This window comes from Homo sapiens, chromosome 11, assembly GCF_000001405.40.
Source record: "Homo sapiens chromosome 11, GRCh38.p14 Primary Assembly".
Classification (NCBI taxonomy): Eukaryota; Metazoa; Chordata; class Mammalia; order Primates; family Hominidae; genus Homo; species Homo sapiens.
The window spans coordinates 122,917,259-122,936,773 of NC_000011.10; the positions used below are offsets into that span (position 1 = coordinate 122,917,259).

Consider the following 19,515-nt stretch of genomic DNA (forward strand, 5'->3'; position numbering starts at 1 on the left):
CTCAGGATATCTTCAAGACTAGAAAATGTCACTTCATCCAGTGAGTTAGTTAAGGAGAAGGTGGATAGTGCTGTAGTTGTATGTGGCTAGATTGTGAGGATGAGAATATGGATATTTAGGTTAGAGAAATTGGCAGACGTCTTTCATGCAGTCCCTTGTATGTCATTTTAAAGCAGAAGCTCTCATATTGTGTTCCTTGGACCAGGAGCATCATCATCACCTGGGAACTTAACACAAGTGGAAATTCTTGGGCCCCATGCCAGACCTCCTGAGTCAGAAACTCTGGGGTGAGGTCCAGCAATCTGTGTTTTAACAGGCCTTCCAAGTGATTTTGATACATGCTCAAATTTTAAAACCCCTATGTTAAAATGTTAGGCCTTTCCTCTAAGTCATCTGAATTCATTGAAGAATTTTAGTAGTGGAGCAATTTCAGTGCAATGTGTGAGCTTTGTGATTTTTTTGTTTTTATCTCTAATGTGTCCATTCAGAGGTCACACTTACATATTCTTAGTTAGTTATGGAGAGTTCAGATTGCTGGATAATCAGTCTTTCTGTAAGTTATATGAGATATTCCTAAAAATCTCTTTCACATTCTTAAAAATGGCCATTATTCATTTAGCATATATTTATTTATTTTATTTTACTTATTTATTTATTTTGGAGACACAGTCTCACTCTGTCACCCAGGTTGGAATGCAGTGGCGCCATCTCAGCTCACTGCAACCTCTGCCTCCCGGGTCCAAACGACTGTCATGCCTCAGTCTCCCAAGTAGCTGGGATTACAGGCATGAGCCACCACACCCAGCTAATTTTTGTATTTTTAGTAGAGACAGGGTTTTGCCATATTGGCCAGGCTGGTCTCGAACTCCTGGTTTCAAGTGATCTGCCTGCCTCAGCCTCCCAAACTGCTGGGATTACAGGTGTGAGCCACTGTGTCCAGCCTAGCATACATTTATTGAGAGATGATTATATGTCAGACATTGTCATAGGTGCTTGGGATACATCCCTGAAAAAAAACAGACAAAAATCCCAGGCCTCCTGAGGAAGGAGATGGGCAACAGACAAAATAGATAAATTAGTGCATTGGTGCATGATAAGTTTTATATTTTAAGGAGGTAAGGAGACAAATAATAAGGCTGGCAGAACTGCTAAGGATTGCTGAGGTGTTGGGAAATCACAACGTTAAATGGGCCATGAGGCAGAGTCTCCCTGAGAAGATATGGAGGAGGTGAGAGGGCACGCCATGCGAATATTTGGAGAAAGAGGATTTCTGGAAGAGGGAGTAGCAAATGCAAATTTCAGGGACTGAAGATGGGAACAAGGGAGAGTGGAATGGAAGATGAAGTTCTAGTTTCCACCTTATTTTGTCAACAGCCGGCTACCTGGCTTTAAAATAAACCACACATCTAACCAGATAAACAAGTAGATTATATGTATTCTGATATAAATGCAAGTTCAGTGAGCAACCCAGATTGATATTTTCATGCCGTCGTATTTATTGACCATCTAGATGCCAGGCACATTCAGAGCATAGCACAGGTGAGTAGTACCCGTAGAGCTATACAGCAAGACAGCCCTGCACATGGTCCGTCCTTTTTCCTGCCTTCCTGGAATTTACAGTCCAGAAGGGGGGAAGAAAAAGCAGTTACCAGGGTGATACTTGTTACAAAAGCAAAGTACAGAGTACTAAGGCCATGCGCTCAGATGCAGCTATTGTAGCTGCCTCTGGGGTGGCAGGGAAGGCTTTCTGGAAAAAGTTATATTTCAGCCAAGGCTGAACAGTGGATGGGATGGGTCAGAATAAGTGAAGTGGGCCAGGCACAGTGGGTCACGCCTGTAATCCCAGCACTTTGGAAGGCTCAGGTGGCGGATCACTTGAGGTCAGAAGTTCGGGACCAGCCTGGCTAACAGGGTGAAACCCCGTCTCTACTAAAATTACAAAAAATTAGCCAGGCATGGTGGTGCACGCCTGTAATCCCAGCTACTCGGGGTACTGAGGCAGGAGAATCACTTGAACCTGGGAGGCGGAGGTTGCAGTGAGCCAAGATTATGCCACTGCACTCCAGCCTGGGCAACAGAGAGAGACTCTGTCTCAAAAAAAAAAAAAAAAAAAAAAAAGAAGTGAAGGGGCAAAGAAATTCCCTAAACAAGTGAATTTCCAGGCAAAGAATGGCCTATGCAAAGACCTAGAGACAATGGTGCCCCTGGCGCATCAGCGAAACTGAAAGGTACAGCAGGAAGGGAGCAAGGGGCCACAGCTGAAGAAGTAGACAGGAACCCGAGGCCACAGGGCCTTATAAATCTTTGAAGATGGAGGGTAATGGAAAAGTATTGAAGGGTTTTTAAGTAGGTGACTGACCATTAGCTTGGGGCTTTTTAAAGTTCAAGTATCTTAAGCTGAAAATGAATGTAGAAAAAAATATATTCAAAAGTTTCGTGGCCAGGCACGGCGGCTCACGCCTGTAATCCCAGCACTTTGGGAGGCTGAGGTGGGCGGATCACCTGAGATCAGGAGTTCAAGACCAGCTTGGCTAACATGGCGAAACCCCGTCTATACTAAAAATATGAAAAATAAAAAAAAACGTTTCAGTGTCACCCAATTCTCACTGAACATGTATGTGCATGCTAAATACATTATGAGGTAATCTATAGGAATGGAGACTATGGCCAACAGCAGAGACAAAATATTTCATGTCTTTTGCCTCTAAACAGCTGAATAATACAAACCTTTGGATAATTGAAACAGCTGTGCTAAATATCAGGGTTGCAGCCTCACAATGGCAGACTGGCAGACAATTTCTATCATTGTGTCTCCACCTCTTTTGCTGGCTGTGTCTAAACACAGGCAGCAGCAGTGCTGGCGTGAGCAGGTGTGAATCGACACACAGCAAGGTATATTAGAAATAGGGTAAAGAAATAAATACTTCAGCTCACTCCTTAGCCAAGTTAATGGAGAAATGCTCACTGAATCCAGTATTATGCCTGGAAGCAAGGAATTGAATAATAGGTGTTGGAATGATGGTAAGCTAATACTACTTAAAAAATCAACTCTATTTAATTTGGATATGTGCTAGTTGTCAATACTATCAAAGAATGAGAGTAACAAAGAACCCAATAAATTAATGTGGGGCTCCCCACAACATCTAAACATAAGGTCAGTATTAAAAACAGAATATAAAGGAAAAAAGGCAAAACCTCCAGTGATTGCAGAACTTAACGGTAACATCCTTATTTAAACATGTTTCAGTGTGTCTTTACGCGGATTCACTGACTCACATACAGCTCTTGGTAAAGCATCAACTTTTTTTGTAGTGCTGTCTGATTCTCTAAGAACCTGATGAGTTTCTTTGAGCAAGAAGTAGCAGCCCAATCTAGCTCAGCTGTACTCAATCTGAGTTGCTTTCCTACCTACAAACCCTCACTTCAAAGCAAGGAACATAATGTACAATTTTTTAATGGCTCTAGACCCAGGCACTCAGCCGCTCTGCTCTGCGCCTTACCTCAGTGTAAACACCTCATCAAGATTGCCTGCGCTTCAACAATAGCAGCCAAATGCAATTCGAGAACCACAAGCCTTTGAAGTCCTCCCTGCAAAGGCCGGTTTTCTAGTCTGGGATAATGACAAGCCATGATTGCTGTCTTTGTTGTATCTTTTCAGTAGAGAAGCAATTATAGGCCCCAATTTAACAGAATAGACATTACACAGCTTATGATGCTCAAAATGCAATTTCATTTGATCATTTTCTCGATTTGATTGGTATTAATAGAATGGTTCACAAAAAAAAAAAAATAGCTGGCAGAGGTTGTGTCCCATTCCACTTTGAAAGAGATAATGTAGAAGTATGCTTTACTTGCCCAGGGATCTCACTGGGGTGATTCAGCCACTGTGTTCTACCAAAACAGCCTGTGGAGGGAAATAATGTATATCCTACATTTTCTGGAATAGGAAGCGTGGGACACTGTATTTTTAATTTGTAAACTTTTCACCAGTGCTATGTAAGAGATTCCATCATTGTCAATCAAACAGTATCAACAGTAATAACCTGAATTAACTAAACTAAGTCCCCTTTATTTCTTAGACACTTACAAAAGTCAGGGAATCAGCATCCTCATGGCAGATCTATGAAAGAGTTCAACTTCCTTTTTTCCCAGGCTCCAGACGACAGTTTCTCTCAGTCATCCCCACTTTGAGGTTTGAAAAGGATGATTTCCTTGCCTGCTAAGTCAGCTTAGTTAGTTTTTTTACTCTTGACCTTCATTTCTCCTCCAAGATAGAGTTGATTTTTCTTTTAAATGAGTCATGTTTCTGTTGAACATCATGGTTATATGGGATTGAAACCTTTGCTATAACGTTGATAAAAGCTGTGAAATCTAATACTTTTATAAGGATCTAGTGTTTCATCTTGAACTAGCACTGTGAGAGGGACTGAGATAGAAAATATGATAAATAGCTGGCCTTGGTGGCTCATGCCTGTAATCCCAGCACTTTGGGAGGCAGGCCGATCACTTGAGTCCATTAGTCTGAGACCAACCTGGGCAACATGGTGAAACCCTGTCTCCACTAAAAATACAAAAATTAGCTGGGTGTGGTGGCACATGCCTGTAGTCCCAGCAACTTGGAAGGCTGAGGCAGGAGAACCGCTCGAGCCCAGGAGGCGGAGGTTGTAAGCCAAGATCATGCCACTGCGCTCCAGCCTGGACCACAGAGCAAGATCTGGAAAAAAAAAAGAGAGAGAAAGAAGAGAAATAGCTCATTTATAGTTCTAAGCTTTTCATTTTAGCACAAGTTGAATTGTTTCATGATGTGAAGTTTTCCATTTGCCATGTAGGTTAATCATTCAAAACCTGGTGATTACTTCTATTTGTAATCAGAAGAATTTCATGATCAAACAGTCCATTTTTGTTTCGTGTTTTAGGAATGAAAATTCAAGCACAAAAATGTTAAAAAGTTTTTATTTTTTCCCACTTTCAGATCAACCTTTAAGTATTCAAACATTCACACCATCTATCTGCCCTATCTCTCTATATATAAGTACAGTAATTGTGATAGTTACTTTAGTAAAGTTAATAGAGATAGCTCAGGTAGAAGTAAGGTTACACCTGAAATAAAAGAAAGAAAATGTTGTGTTTTGTCCAGGGAAGGCACATTGAGTGGTCAGGAATGAGGGTATCTTCATTGTCAAACATTTACTTATCACTTAATATTTAACAAATATCTTACCTCTTTCTTATTGAATACAAGTCTGAAGTCAAGGTAAACAGCAGAGGGGAGGCTGGGCACGGTGGCTCACGCCTGTAATCCCAGCACTTTGGAGGCCGAGGTGGGCGGATCACGAGGTCAGGAGATAGAGACCATCCTGGCTAACACGGTGAAACCCCGTCTCTACTAAAAATACAAAAAATTAGCCGGGGGTGGTGGCAGGTGCCTGTAGTCCCAGCTACTCAGGAGGCTGAGGCAGGAGAATGGCGTGAACCCGGGAGGCGGAGCTTGCAGTGAGCCGAGATTGTGCCACTGCACTCCAGCCTGGGCAACAGAGCGAGACTCCGTCTCAAAAAAAAAAAAAAAAAAAAAAAAAAACCAGCAGAGGGGAGATCTGAACACAAACAGGACAGATCCCAAAACCCAAGTTCTTTCTAGTCATACACTTTGCTGCTTCTCCACTACACAGCCCACCAGAGGAAATGTAACAAAACGCATGTAAAGTCCTAAATCTAAATTTTAAAACTAATTACGTCAGTTCAGAAGGGACAGACTTGACAGCATTTCTAGGCAGTGGAGCAGAGAGTGGGCAGAGGAGGCTGACCTGAGTACTGCAGCACAGGGGAATGAGACAGTCGGTCCTCTAAATAAGAGCAGGCTCACAGGAGAGCAGGGTCAGCTTCTAGCTGCGCAGAGCTGTTGTCTGAAGAAGGAGTTAGTCTGTTCTGTGTTATTCCAGAGGGCAGAGGGATAGAAAATACAGAGACATATATCTGCTCATATAAAGAAAAGCTTTCTGGCATTCAGGTTGCTCAGTTAGGGAGCAATATGTTTATCATGCATGAAACAGATTTCTTTTCTCCTCCTCAACCCGTAGAAGATCTTTAAACATATACTAATACTGACAAACAGGTAAGTCTTGCCAGGAAATGGGGCATGAATTTAGGCAGACAGCGAGTAAACATCTACCAGGGATGGTGTGGATGTACTGGAGAACTGGATTATCTCCAGAATCTTTTCCAGCATTAAGATTGCATAACTTTAAGTTTGCTTCCTGCAGTACATCCTGATGGCTGGAATTCCACATGACACAGACACTAATTTCTTGATTTAAAACAGGTAACTAATGGAGGCAATGAAGGGCCCTTAAATAACTTAGGAACCTAAATCCTGCATAGCTGCCTTCATTCATGGTTCCCAAACCTGCCTGCAGATTAGACCCACCTGGGGAGCTTTTTATTTATTTATTTATCTATTTATATTTATTTATTTATTTTGAGACGGAGGCTCACTCTGTCGCCCAGGCTGGAGTGCAGTGGCATGATCTCAGCTGACAGCAACCTCCGCCTCCCAGGTTTAAGCAGTTATCTGCCTCAGCCTTCCGAGTAGCTGGGATTACAGACCCCAGTCACCACGCCTGGCTAATTTTTTTTTTTTTTTTTTTTTTTTTTTGTATTTTTAGTAGAGATAGGGTTTCGCCATCTTGGCCAGGCTAGTCTTGAACTCCTGCCCTCGTGATCCACCCACCTTGGCTTCCCAAAGTGCCGGGATTATAGGTGTGAGCCACTGCGCCTGGACTTTTTAAATTTTTTTAAATAGTAGATAGGTAACTTTTAAAATATATTGATATCTGGGGCCACCCCCAGAGCTTATGATTTAATGGTTTTGAGGTGGGATCAGGGCATTAGTATTTTTTTTAATTTCCTCGGTTTTTCTAATATCTAACTAAAGTTGAGAACCACTGACTTTACATTATTCAAATTCTCTGAGTACCAAAACTACTAATTGTGCAGGTCTAGGATATTTCTAATAAGTGAGTTAGCAACATTGTTGCATGTGCAGGCTCCGGAGATAGACCACCCAGCTCTACTACTTACTAGCTGTTGATCCTGGGCAAATTACTTAACCTCTCTGTACCTTTGTTTTCTCATTTGCAAAAAGGGGGTAATAACATATGCATACCTAATAAGGTGGTTGTGAGGATTACCTGAGAACTAAGGGCCTAGGACAGATGCTGGCACACCGCGAGCATTCCATGTGTAGAAAACATTGTTATTTCTGTTGTCGTCATCATCTTGGCGTATAGTGTTATTTCATAGTGTTTCTATTGGTGTGATCAAACGTTACTTGCTGCATCCAGTTCAGATAACTGTTCTAAAATTGGGTCCCCTGAGTATGTATTGAGCATGTAAAGTAAGTAATAGTTTGACCTTAACGCACCAGTTTTCTCTTCGTGTCTGCAAGAGAAAACATTGTTTATTCCCATTCTCCTTAAGAACAATCAGGTCCCTGAGGACTGATGAGATGAATCCTTGAAATTAACTGAAAATAAAACCTAGCCCAGCAGGACCGTTTTCTAGAGTGCACAGACTTGAGTCCCATGGCTCTAAGACTAAAATGAATCCAGTTAACATGCTGTATGTGTTTTACCTACCTAGATCTCCTACCCCGTCAGAGTAACAGACAAGACGTCTATTCAGAATGCCAAGGAAATGGAAAATGCTGCCATCGATCCTGAAGATAAATGGCATCAAAGAGCACAACAGCTAAAGGTTACCTGCTAGATTGCATTTTAAGTGTGTTTCAAGCGATACTGCTGAATATAAGTAATGATCGTGACTGAGTTCTTATCACTTAAGGGTTTATTTTTATGCCTGAGAATAATTACCCACTTTCCTATGGGTAAGACTGGCTTCTGCTCAGAGGAGCCATTGCCTGCTCAGCCAGCCAACCCTACCTGTTTTTCCAAGGGTTCTGTTTGCTGGAAGAAAATAATCATATCACACTTCCAACATACTGAGTTAGAACCCCACACAGAAGGAAGGCATGGAAAGACATGCAGGAAAAATCACAGTTCCAGAGAATTGTCCAACTCTGTGCTGCTCCCAAATCTGATTCCTTTTGGAGTTGGCAGTTACTTATTATTCCTAGACAATGGGGACACTATTCCTGAAAACTGGATGGGAATTCCCAGAGCCTCACCAAACCCTCATTTTCAGAATATAAAAGCTTACCAACTGGTCATTTAGCGTGATGACATCCTTTCTGGCCTTGGGTTTACTACTTTGAAATCATAAATGTGATTTCAGGGAAGATTTTTCTGAAATTCTCCACACTGTTTTTCTAGAAGAAACAGAAAAAGGTCAGACACAATGGCTCACACCTGTAATCCCAGCAATTTGGGAGACCAAGATGGGTGGATCACCTGAGGTCAGGAGTTTGAGACCAGCTTGGCCAACATAGTGAAACCCTGTCTCTACTAAAAATACAAAGATTAGGTCAGGCCCGTTGGCTCATGCCTGTCATCCCAGCATTTTGGGAGGCCGAGGTGGGTGAATCACAAGGTCAGGAGTTCGAGACCAGCCCGGCCAATATGGTGAAACCCCATCTCTACTAAAAATTACAAAAATTAGCTGGGTCTGGTGGCAGGCGCCTATAGTTCCAGCTATTCAGGAGGCTGAGGCAGGAGAATCACTTGAACCTGGAAGGCGAAGGTTGCAGTGAGCCAAGATCATGCCACTGCGTTCCAGCCTGGGTGACAGAGCAAGACTCCGTATCAAAAAAGAAAAAAAAAAAAAGATTAGCCAGGCATGATGGTGCTCACCTGTAGTCCCAGCTACTAGGGAAGCTGAGGCAGGAGATTTCCTTGAACTTGGGAGGTGGAAGTTGCAGTGAGCCAAGATTGTGCCACTGCACTGCAGCCTAGGTGACAGAGCAAGACTCCATCTCAAAAAAAAAAAAAAAAAAAGAAAAAAGAAAAAGAAAAAGAAAAAGAAAATAGAAAAAGCACTAGAAGCTCAGGTTTTTCTTGACCCGTGTATGTGGACCCTTGGACCAGGCTTTATCCCTGCCTAAGAAGAGATGAGTCCTTTGAAAATTACTGAACCTATAGAGCCTGTTGACATCAGTTAAAACTATATACAGTGATAAACATAGTAAAAATAATAATGAGTTTTACCTGAGCTTCAGAGAGGTTAGAAAGAAGGGACAGCCCGAATCATCTCTTTTCCTCTCCAGTGGACTCCAGGCCTCTCTTAAGAGTTGCAAAAAAAGAAATAAAAAGTCATTCACCCAGAGCTTCCTGAAAGTTGATGCCAGTGAGGCCATACCTAGAAGTTGAGAGGATGGCGACTGAAATGTCTCATGGCTGTGGGATGTGGAGGACAGGATCCACTACCAGATGTGATAGAGAGCCAGGGGAGCTTGGTCAACAGGAACCAGGGACAAAGGAAATACCTTAAGATTTGCCATGCATTATGGGTAATGGACTGGGTCACGAGAGATGAATTTCTGGGCCTCAGCCTGCCATTTACTTGATTCATGACTGGGCAAATCTCAGCTTTTTCAAAACCTTAAATTTCTTCTTTATTAAATGAAGGATTAGTCTAAATGACCTTCAAGGTCCATCTCAGCTGCAAAATGCTAGAATTCTATGACCATGCATTTCTAGTTATTTAAATTATTATAGAAAAATACATTTGAAGCATGTAAGATTATCGCAACCTGTAGCTTTCATAATTGTCACTAAGGAAAGCCATAGGATTCTCAGCTAATGATAAAATGATCGAGGTAAAAAGCTTTGCCCAGTGGCAACATCATAACCAGTGAGGTTTATACAGGGTGCAATTATTGCTAACTGAAAACTTTTCCTAATACCCACCATGATGACTTGAAATATAGTCGGCATTGGCAATTTTGGATAGTCTCTATGGAGACTGAAGAAAAAATGATAATAATCAAGGTAAAATCGCAGTGCTTGATTTATGGCATGACCTTTGACAGAAGCAGTAAAACTTTTGTATGGAAGAAAATCAGAAGAAAACCAAAAGAATGCTTTTTATTCCCTGCGTGTACTGTAATTAATGCTCTTATAACCCATTCCTGAATGAAGAAATTGTGGAGCAAAACATCTAAAAAGTGTTATTGACCTAAAATGACAATAACCACAAATGGCCTAAGGGATGTTTCCCATTCTTTAGGTGGAAAGGATTTGTGGACTGCCCACTGCATGCTACACACCAGCCCAGCACTCTGGGACACAGACACTTTAGGCTGCCTTTCTTTTTCCTCTTCAACTACCCAAGTCCAATGCCTTCTTTTTAGTGCCTCCTCAAGGGCCACCTCTGCATGGAGATTCCCAGCCTCTCCCACCCTGCTCCTCTGCCCTCAGCTCCTGCTGTGTCTGTAGTCTGGGCCACTGGCTCAGGGCCTGCCATATTGGGCCGTGTCTCATTAACTGCTGCCTGTGTTTCTTTTTCTTTTCTTTTCTTTTTTCTTTTTTTTTTTTTTGAGACGGAGTTTTGTTCTTGTTGCCTAGGCTGGAGTGCAATGGTAGGATCTTGGCTCACTGTAACCTCCGCCTCCTGGGTTCAAGCGATTCTCCTGTCTCAGCCTCCTGAGTAGCTGGGATTACAGGCACCCACCACCACGCCCAGCTAATTTTTGTATTTTTAGTAGAGATGGGGTTTCACCATGTTGGCCAGGCTGGTCTCGAACTCCTGACCTCAGGTGATCTGCCCGCCTGGGCCTCCCAAAGTGCTAGGATTACAGGCGTGAGCCACTGTGCCTGTGTTTCTTTTGTACCCACTACACTACAAGATCTTTTAAGGTACCGATTGTATTTTTCTCTACATCCCCTACCACAGTGCTTTGCCCAAGGCTGATGCTCAGTAAATATTTACTGACTGATTAAAGAAACATTTAAAGATCATGGGCCAGGCACAGTGGCTCATGCCTATAATCCTATTGCTTTTTTGGAGGCCAAGGAGGGAGGACTGCTAGAGGCCAGGAATTCGATGTTACAGGTGCCACTGTACTCCAGCCTGGGCAATAGAGCAAGACCCTGTCTCTAAAAAATACAAAATGCAGATAAAAAGATTATTTAGTGTATCTCCAGGAGAAAATGGACCTCATTTGAAAATTTTTTCTTGAAAAATGACTTTCAGAGTTTCATAAACCTACCCTAACAACAATAACCTTCACTAATGTGAAATATCTTTGTGCAAAATCAAAATATTTCACACAACAAATATTTATTGAGTATCTACTGCATTCCAGGCACTGTGGATTAGGTGCCTGGCCCAAAAGATACGGGGAAAAAAAAAAAAAACAAGCAAACAAACAACAACAAAAATTCTTTAAAACAATAAATAAAACTTGAAGAAAGGTTGTTTTTTGTAGTTGTTGGTTTTTTGTTGTTGTTGTTTTTGAGACCGAGTCTCACTCTGTTGCCCAGGCTGGAGTGCAGTGGCACAATCTCGGCTCACTGCAAGCTCCGTCTCCCGGGTTCAAGCCATTCTCCTGCCTCAGCTTCCTGAGTAGCTGGGACTATAGGCACCCGCCACCACGCCCGGCTAATTTTTTGTATTTTTAGTAGAGACGGGGTTTCACCGTGTTAGCCAGGATGGTCTTGATCTCCTGACCTCGTGATCCGCCCGCCTCGGCCTCCCAAAGTGCCAGGATTACAGGCGTGAGCCAACACGCCTGGCCCATTTTTTCTTTTTAAGGCTGAGTTTCACTCTCGTTACCCAGGCTGGAGTGCAATGGCACAATCTCGGCTTACCACAACCTCTGCCTACCAGGTTCAAGCCTCCCAAGTAGCTGGGATTACAGGCATGTGCCACCACGCCTCGCTAATTTTGTATTTTCAGTAGAGATGGGGTTTCTTCATGTTGGTCAGGCTGGCCTCGAACTCCTGACCTCAGGTGATCTGCCTGCCTTGGCCTCCCAAAGTGCTGGGATTACAGGTGTGAGCCACCACGCCTGGCCAAGGTTGTTTTTTGTTTTTTTTTTTTTTTAAAGCAGTACCTCCCCTCTAGGAGTTCAACACTTTAGTGGGAATCATTATGTAATCATTATAATGCAGTAATATGGACCTGGGTACAAAATGCAGTGGAACTAAAAGAGCAACTAATTCTGCCCTAAGAAGACGGAGAAATAACCCCCATAGGAGTCAGTATCTCAGCTGCCCCTAGAAGGACAAATCCGGGCAAAGGTGTGAAAGTGGGAGGAGGAACGAGGAACCATGACAGCTCTGGCTGCTATTTGTATGGTCTAGGGAGGGAAAAGTTGACATAGTTGGTAAGGGCTGCTGTCTGCCTCACGCATCCCAGGACTCAGACTGGAGAAGAGATTGTTCGCAATCTAAGCAGGTACCCAGCAGTGAGGTGCCGTGCAAGGGACATTACACATGCAACTCATGTATATGGAAGGCTCCATGACTTGAAAAGACTAAATACCAAAAATACAAACAATAATAATTACATATATGTAGATAGATGTATATTTGTTTGTTTATGTGTGGAGTGACAGAGAAAATGATGAAATGTGACCAAATGTTTAAAATTGTTCAATCTGGATAAGAATCCTTTAGAGTTGTCCATACTAGCAATTTTTCTGTAAGTTTGAAATAACTTGAAAATAAAAAGGTCAAGAAAAAAGTGCCCACAGGATTTGGTGACTAAAAGTTTATTGGTGGCCTGAACAGAGCAATTTCAGCGGGATGGGGAGAAGGAACGCTCTATGGCAGGGGACAGAGGTCAGCATGAGAGATGGGGAGCAGAGACCAGTGCAGTCTACACCATCAAGACGCCCAGCTGTGAACTGAGAAAGAGATAGATTTTTCTTTGCTTTTGTTTTTTGAGAAAGGGTCTTGCTCTATCACCCAGGATGGAGTACAGTATCGTGATTTTGGCTCACTGCAACCTCTGCCTCCCAGGTGCAAGCGATTCTCCTGCCTCAGCATCCCGAGTAGCTGGGATTACAGGTGCAGGCCAGCACGCCCAGCTAATTTTTGTATTTTTAGTAGAGACAGGGTTTCACCATGTTTGTCAAGCTGGTCTCAACTCCTGACCTCAAGTGATCCACCCGCCTCTACCTCCCAAAGTGCTGGGATTACAGGCATGAGCCACTGTGCCCAGCCAAGAAAGAGATAGGATTTAACCAGAGGATGTATTCAAGTGAATGTTTTTTTCCTTCTTTTCATAGGAGAGACTTAAATACATTTACATGCTAGAAAGAACGAGAAACCAGAGAAAGGGCGAGAAAAGAGAGAAGATATGCCTGAGACCATTTCAGCCTATGTATTTTTACTTTAAAAATACTGAGAATGATGGTCATCATCATATTCTATGTAAGAGTCTTATCCATGCCCAGATCCATCACTTGAAGCCAAGTCATCTCTCTTCATTTAACCTTGCTACATAGGCCTTAGCGTCCTGAATCGCTTCGCACTTGCCTGTGAATCTTCACAGGTTTTCCAAATCCTGCTTAGGTTGTGTGCCCAGACTGAATGCAGTATGTTTAAGGCTCAGGACTCTTGCTGGGCAGTGTGAGGGGCACATTCCCACTGGCAGAAGATCTTTTCCAGGTATCTTAGTCTGTTTGTGCTGCTATAACAAAATACTATAGATCAGGTGGCTTAGAAACAACAGAGGTTTATTTTTTTCACAGCTTTGGAAGCTGGAAGTCCAAGGTCAGGACACTGGCAGTTTCTATGTCTGGTGAGGATCTGCTTCCTGGTTCATTGGTGATGCTTTCTCACTGTGTCCTCACACAATGGAGGGGGGGAATGAGCTTCCTTGAGCCTATTTTATAGGGACATCAATCCCAAGAAGGAGGGCTCCGTCCTGCTGACCTAGTCACCCGAAAAGACCCCACCTTTAAATAGCATTACCTTGGGGGTTAGGATTTAACGTACGAGTTTAGGGAAGACACAAACATTCAAACCATGGCACCAGGCAAGAAACATGCCAGTAGAAAAAAATTAAAAGTTCCCCAATTAAGTAATGTTTCAAAAGGATAAATAGGATGTTTTCTTTCTTACCCCTCTAAAATAACTCTTAGCTTTCCAGGCAAAGAAAAGGTAATGATAGTATTAAAGATATATAGGACCTTTTACTTATTAATATGAAAGCCCTTGTAATCAAATCCTGATTAACCTTTCCAAAAAGCTGTTAATTTGGTTTTGCCTCCAACACTATCAATAGATCTATGCTTCTTCTATTCATCTGAACACAGAGTTCTTCCTTACCCACAGAGAAAATCAGAGCCAATTAATATTTTTGCTTGAGATTCTCTTAATATTATCAGATGGAATTTGTATCTCGGGCTTAAAGTACTCATGTTTTATTGTTCATAAACACAGCAGAAAAGCAGAACACAACAGACATGTCTTCACTTTACAGCTGATCTCAGAGCCCAGGCACAACTCTCAGGACTCCACGGTTGAGTCAGGTTAACTAAGAGCAGGAGTGGCTTTTGTGTTGAAACAGATGAACTTTCTGGTTGAGATCAGAGCAGGCATTGTCCCGTCTGCTGATGAAATGTGAAAAGGAAAGCCGTAAAAGAGAAACAACAAGGTGCTGGCTTTCACAGGGTCGGGGACAAACTTCTCTTGGGTGGCACAGTATGAACGAGCATTAATTAATAACTAAGGATGAGTCCCACCAAGAAATTATCATCCCAGCATTAGGCATCAGGATTCCCCCATGCTAACACTCCGTGTGTGACGCAAAAACCTACTGCCATTAAGCAGTTATTCTAAGTGCATGGAGTATGCAGCGACTGCGGGTGTTGGTAACAAAAGAACCCCAGTGAGAGCAGAATGGAATAGAGGATTTCAGTGCTGATGGAGATTAAATCGTCTGAGAATGGCTTTGTATATTAACTTCAGGGAACTCAGGTCTTGCCACCTAAAGAGTGACACCTGATGCCCCAATTGTAGGGTAATAAATCTTCAGTAAACCACAGATCTCAAGTAGGCTGCTTGGAAGGTGAGAAAAATCGTATCAAGCCCATAAATGGCTTCCTTTCTGGGGACTGAAATGCCATCTCTGGGCACTTATATGTATGTGAATAGCAGATTTAACACTTGAGACAATTGAAGTTTCATAAAATGATGAGTCCTTGGCCTTGTTGTCAGAGCGCCCTGTGAACAGGATTGTCAGCAGCAAAGGTAATAACATGATTAAGATCAAGTGGTAACCCAGGATTTCACATCTAGTACCCAAGAAATTTCTGAGAAGTAAGTATTTTCTTTTTTGGTGAAAATTAAGAGAGAAAACTAGGAAAAGTACATTTAGATGGCAGCATCCTGGTTACTTCTCTAGCGAGTTAAAGGCTGAACAAAATATTGAAAAGAATGACATTATCAGCATCAATTAATACTTTTAGGTCACAGTCAAGGGGGGCATTTTTGACCTTCACGAATAGTGCTGCCAGCCATAAAAAGAGCTGCTATATTCCACAACCACACCTATAATATTGTAATATAGCAATTATTTTCTGGATCCATTACAAGAAAGGATTTTCTTGGAGCTATGTATTTGCAGAGCCTTCCTGCCCGCATTTCCCCATGCAGCTCAATTTACTGCATGGAAGGAATACCTAGAATTTACCTGGAATACAGAAGAGAAGTTTTCCCTTTTTTGGGAGCACCACAGGTAAAAATTTAAAGTAAGTAGGAGCTAATCAGAGCCTGGCCAATCCCCCAGAAAGCTCAAATTCTCAAAAGAACAGCTTCTAAATTTCAAATTAGAAGTCGTTATTTCTTAAAAATATGATATGATAAGTAACATTGTGTATTACTGTTTTAAATTTAATAATCTCAACATTATCATTATAATGTGATTTCACTAGAAATAGAACACTGCTTAATATTATACAGGAATAGGATGAGTCTTAGTGGTTGTATCAGAATGTATCAGAAAAGAGAAATCAAAGCTGAACTCATCACAGTAATTTGATCATTCCTTCTAGCAAGCTAAAATAATCATTCATCCAACTGTTGCATTTTTCAGTTAATGTTTTATAGATAAAAGCTAAAGAGATTTTTTAGTATATGTGTTCAGAAAGGAAGAAATATGTTGCAGTTATATAACACACTGATGCATATGGTCATCCTACTGTTTTCAATAAGCATTTAATCATTCTTTGCAAAGGCCTCTTAACTCAGCTAGTTTTCCACGAAGTAATGAGTGCTTTATTCCTTGGAAAATATTTCTAAATGGCAATAGCACAATATAGTTACATAGTGTATCTATTATACCAGGAGTACATTTTGTTGTTAGGAGACTTTGAAAAGCATAAAGACTGTTGTGAAATTGAAATATTTCCCCCAGATGTTTGATTGCCTAAGCGCAGGCTATATTAAGGAACAGAAGCAAAACAGCCCTTGTGGCTTCACAGATGTCCTATCACAGCACAGGCTCTTTTATAATCCTCTGAATAAAATCTAATTTGTTTCATCTGGTGAAGAGGTCATTTCTAGCTTCTGACCAGCATGAGTAAAAAGATCTGATCATCTCAATTGTATTTAATATTAGATTTGTACTTGGTTTGTAAAGCAAATTATTAGTGTTTTCTGGTTAAGATTTTTAAAAATATTCATGTTACTTAAAATAAGCTTGTATATTGTAATGTAGATTTGCATTTGTACTTTCTCCGTATCTCTCGAAGTAAAGCTTCCCCACCTCATCCCCCAAGTTGGCAACACTTTTAAGTCAAAGACTTAACTTTTAAAACTTAAACTTTGAAGCCAAAGACTTGTCCTTAATATAAAGCCCATTCTAAGCTTTCTATTTCTTTCTAGGCTTATAATCCTAAATTTCCAGGAGGAATCACTCAGTTATTAACTCCAATTCCCTGAAATTAGGAAAAAAATCGTCTACTTTTTCTTTATCTGCTTTCAGTTCTATGGTCACCTTCCTAGAAGTCTCAACCCCCAATTTGGAAAACACTAATTTAAAATTTGTGGGCTGAGGCAGGAGAATGGTGTGAACCTGGGAGGCGGAGCTTGCAGTGAGCCCAGATCGTGCCACTGCACTCCAGCCTGGGAGACAGTGAGACTCCGTCTCAAATAAATAAATAAATAAATAAATAAATAAATAAATAAATAATAAAATAAAATTTGTGAAGAGTGCCAGTCTTCTAATTTTACATTAACCAAAAATATCTCTTTAGAATTACCAGGAACACTGGTCTCAATATGAAAGTACAAAATCAAGCAATGTACCAAGAGGGCAACCTTCTGACATGGTGAATGACCATCAACCTTCCAGAAGACCAGCCAAGCTCAAGATTCGAAAGCAGTGTAAACACCAGAATGGCCTGAAGTCTTCCACAACGGAAGAGGTGACTGCCAGTCAGGGGAACCAGAATAACCCTCCCAGGCAGCAACAAAACCAAAATAAGCCTCTTGATACTTCAACAAAGCCTGAATCGATTGTGATTATGCATGCCTCTAACAATGATGTACAAGCCTCAAGGGCACTTAGAAGCCACAATCTCAAAGAAACCTCCAATACATTTGCTCCACCAAAACAGGCTTTTGACAAGGTCTTATCTAAAAACTCTACTGGATGTGACTCTGGGCTGAATGTTAATAAAGAAAGAGGACACAAAGACCAAGAAGAGAAAAGATTTTCATATCAGCAGCTACACACCCTTTCTGACATGGATTTGAACAACCTTAATGAACTTTCTAAGAGACACGTGCTCCTGAGCCAGAAAGGCTCTCAGTTTGTTTATCACATAAATACTCATGGATCAACCAAAAATAAGAAACAACTCAAACAGCCTTATACAGAGACAAAATACAGGAACTTAGAAATGTTATGGTAAGAATTCCCTTTTCTCAAGTGGTTTTCTAGAGGAGAAAGGAGAGACTGCTGCAGAAAGACGGGAGAGGAAGAAGGGGAAGGGGAATCCATAAGGTGGCTAGGTGAGAAGAAGAGTTCACCTAACAACTTCCTTAGCTCTGATTCCTGCCTCAAAGAGTCCACTTTTTTTTTTTTTAGACAGATTCTTGCTCTGTTGCCCAGGCTGGAGTGCAGTGGTGCCATCTTGGCTCATTGCAACCTCCGCCTCCCGAGCTCAAGCAATTCTCCTGGCCCAGCCTCCCAAGTAGCAGGGATTACAAGCGTTCACCACCACACCGGGCTAATTTTTGTATTTTTAGTAGAGACAGAGTTTCAGCATGTTGGCCAGGCTGGTCTCGAACTCCTGACCTCAAGTAATCCACCCGCCTTGGCCTCCCAAAGTGCTGAGATTACAGGTGTGAGCCACCGCACCCGGCCAAGAGTCTACTTTTGATGGATTTCTTTTCCTCTTCCCTGTCTCCGCTATTTTTCCACTGTAGTTAAACTAGAAGTTGAAGGGAGAGGAGGACAGAGGGACCCAGTCAAAAAACATCAGTGTGTTTGGGGGTTGCAAGTAATGTTTGGAGGAAACAAATGATCTTCAACATTATCATGGCCTATCCTGAGAAAATAATCTAAAATACAGAAAAATATGCACATACAAAAAAATCATCATTTATAGAGGTGACCTAAAAATCCAACAATAGGGAATGTTTAGGTAAATTATGATATTTAGTATCATGGAACCACTAAAAATTATGGTTATGAGGAAATGCTTCTATAGGAAGAAAATAGTAAGGTACAAAATTACACCTTGGGTTGAATGACACTGGTAGAAGAAAAAGTACATCTAAGGAGTATGAGTTCTACTGTGTTAAAATATGCACAGAAGAAAAATTTACCAAAATGTCAATAGTGGTTATCTCTAGCAAGAGGGATTGGGATTTTAAAAATTTATTCTTTATATTTTCAGAACAGTTCAAGTTCCCCACGATGTAGATGTATAACTTCTATAAACAGGAAAATGAAAGTTATTTTAAAAATTACTTCAGGCACCATTTCTTGGTGTTCTTCGATCAAACGTCCTTTCTACATACCTAACATACTGAATATAATGCTACAGTGCTAAATGCTATACAAGGTACAAAAGAAGTATGGTGTGTGAGGCACCTTCAAGGAACTTGACTTTCAAAGTAGGGAGACAATTACTCCCTCGTGAGTTGATCAAAGAACATTTAAGTGTCACACTTGGTGATATGGAATGTAGATTTAATAAGATTTAAAGTTAGCTTCCTAGAAGAGATAATGATAAATAGCAGGCATCTTTGTCTTTTTTTTTTTTCCTGATTTTAGAAAGATTGTTTCTGACACTTTTACCATTAAAAATAATATTTAGTTTTTGGTAGATAGATAGATGATAGATGGGAAATTTCCTCCTATTCCTCTTTGCAAATAACTTCTATCATAAACGAGTATTTGATTTTATCAAATACTTTTTCTGCATTAATTGAAACATTTCTCCATTAATCCTTTAGTGTGATGAAATATGTTAACAGATTTTTCTGATGATGCACTGATTTTTCTGATAACCCTTTTATTCCTAGGGTTAACCCAATTTGTCATACTGCATTTTTAATAAGTTGCTTGATTTGATGTGTTAACACTTTGTTTAAGATT

At 41.2% G+C, this 19,515-nt stretch overlaps 1 protein-coding gene and 1 pseudogene across 4 annotated transcripts in view, besides 1 other annotated feature; both read left to right on the forward strand.

Annotated features, from left to right (window-relative positions):
- Nucleotides 1-19,515, forward strand: part of JHY (junctional cadherin complex regulator) — an 81,104-nt gene that overhangs the window by 34,500 nt on the left and 27,089 nt on the right. For 3 of the 4 annotated variants that reach the window (NM_001363089.2, NM_024806.4, NM_001363087.2), the window contains exons 4-5: nt 7,639-7,752; nt 17,162-17,817. In NM_001363089.2, coding sequence (NP_001350018.1) covers nt 7,639-7,752; nt 17,162-17,817 — 770 coding nt within the window. The remainder of the gene's footprint in view (nt 1-7,638; nt 7,753-17,161; nt 17,818-19,515) is intronic. The other variant, NM_001363088.2, reaches the window with a different exon arrangement.
- Nucleotides 3,204-3,815: an enhancer, noted in NCBI's record as "OCT4-NANOG hESC enhancer chr11:122791170-122791781 (GRCh37/hg19 assembly coordinates)". NCBI's record gives its function as "activates a minimal SCP1, AML or CMV promoter by ChIP-STARR-seq in primed H9 embryonic stem cells {active_cell/tissue: H9 hESC(primed)}" and the evidence as "EXISTENCE:reporter gene assay evidence [ECO:0000049][PMID:30033119]".
- RNU4-23P (RNA, U4 small nuclear 23, pseudogene) lies at nt 9,776-9,915 on the forward strand (annotated as a pseudogene).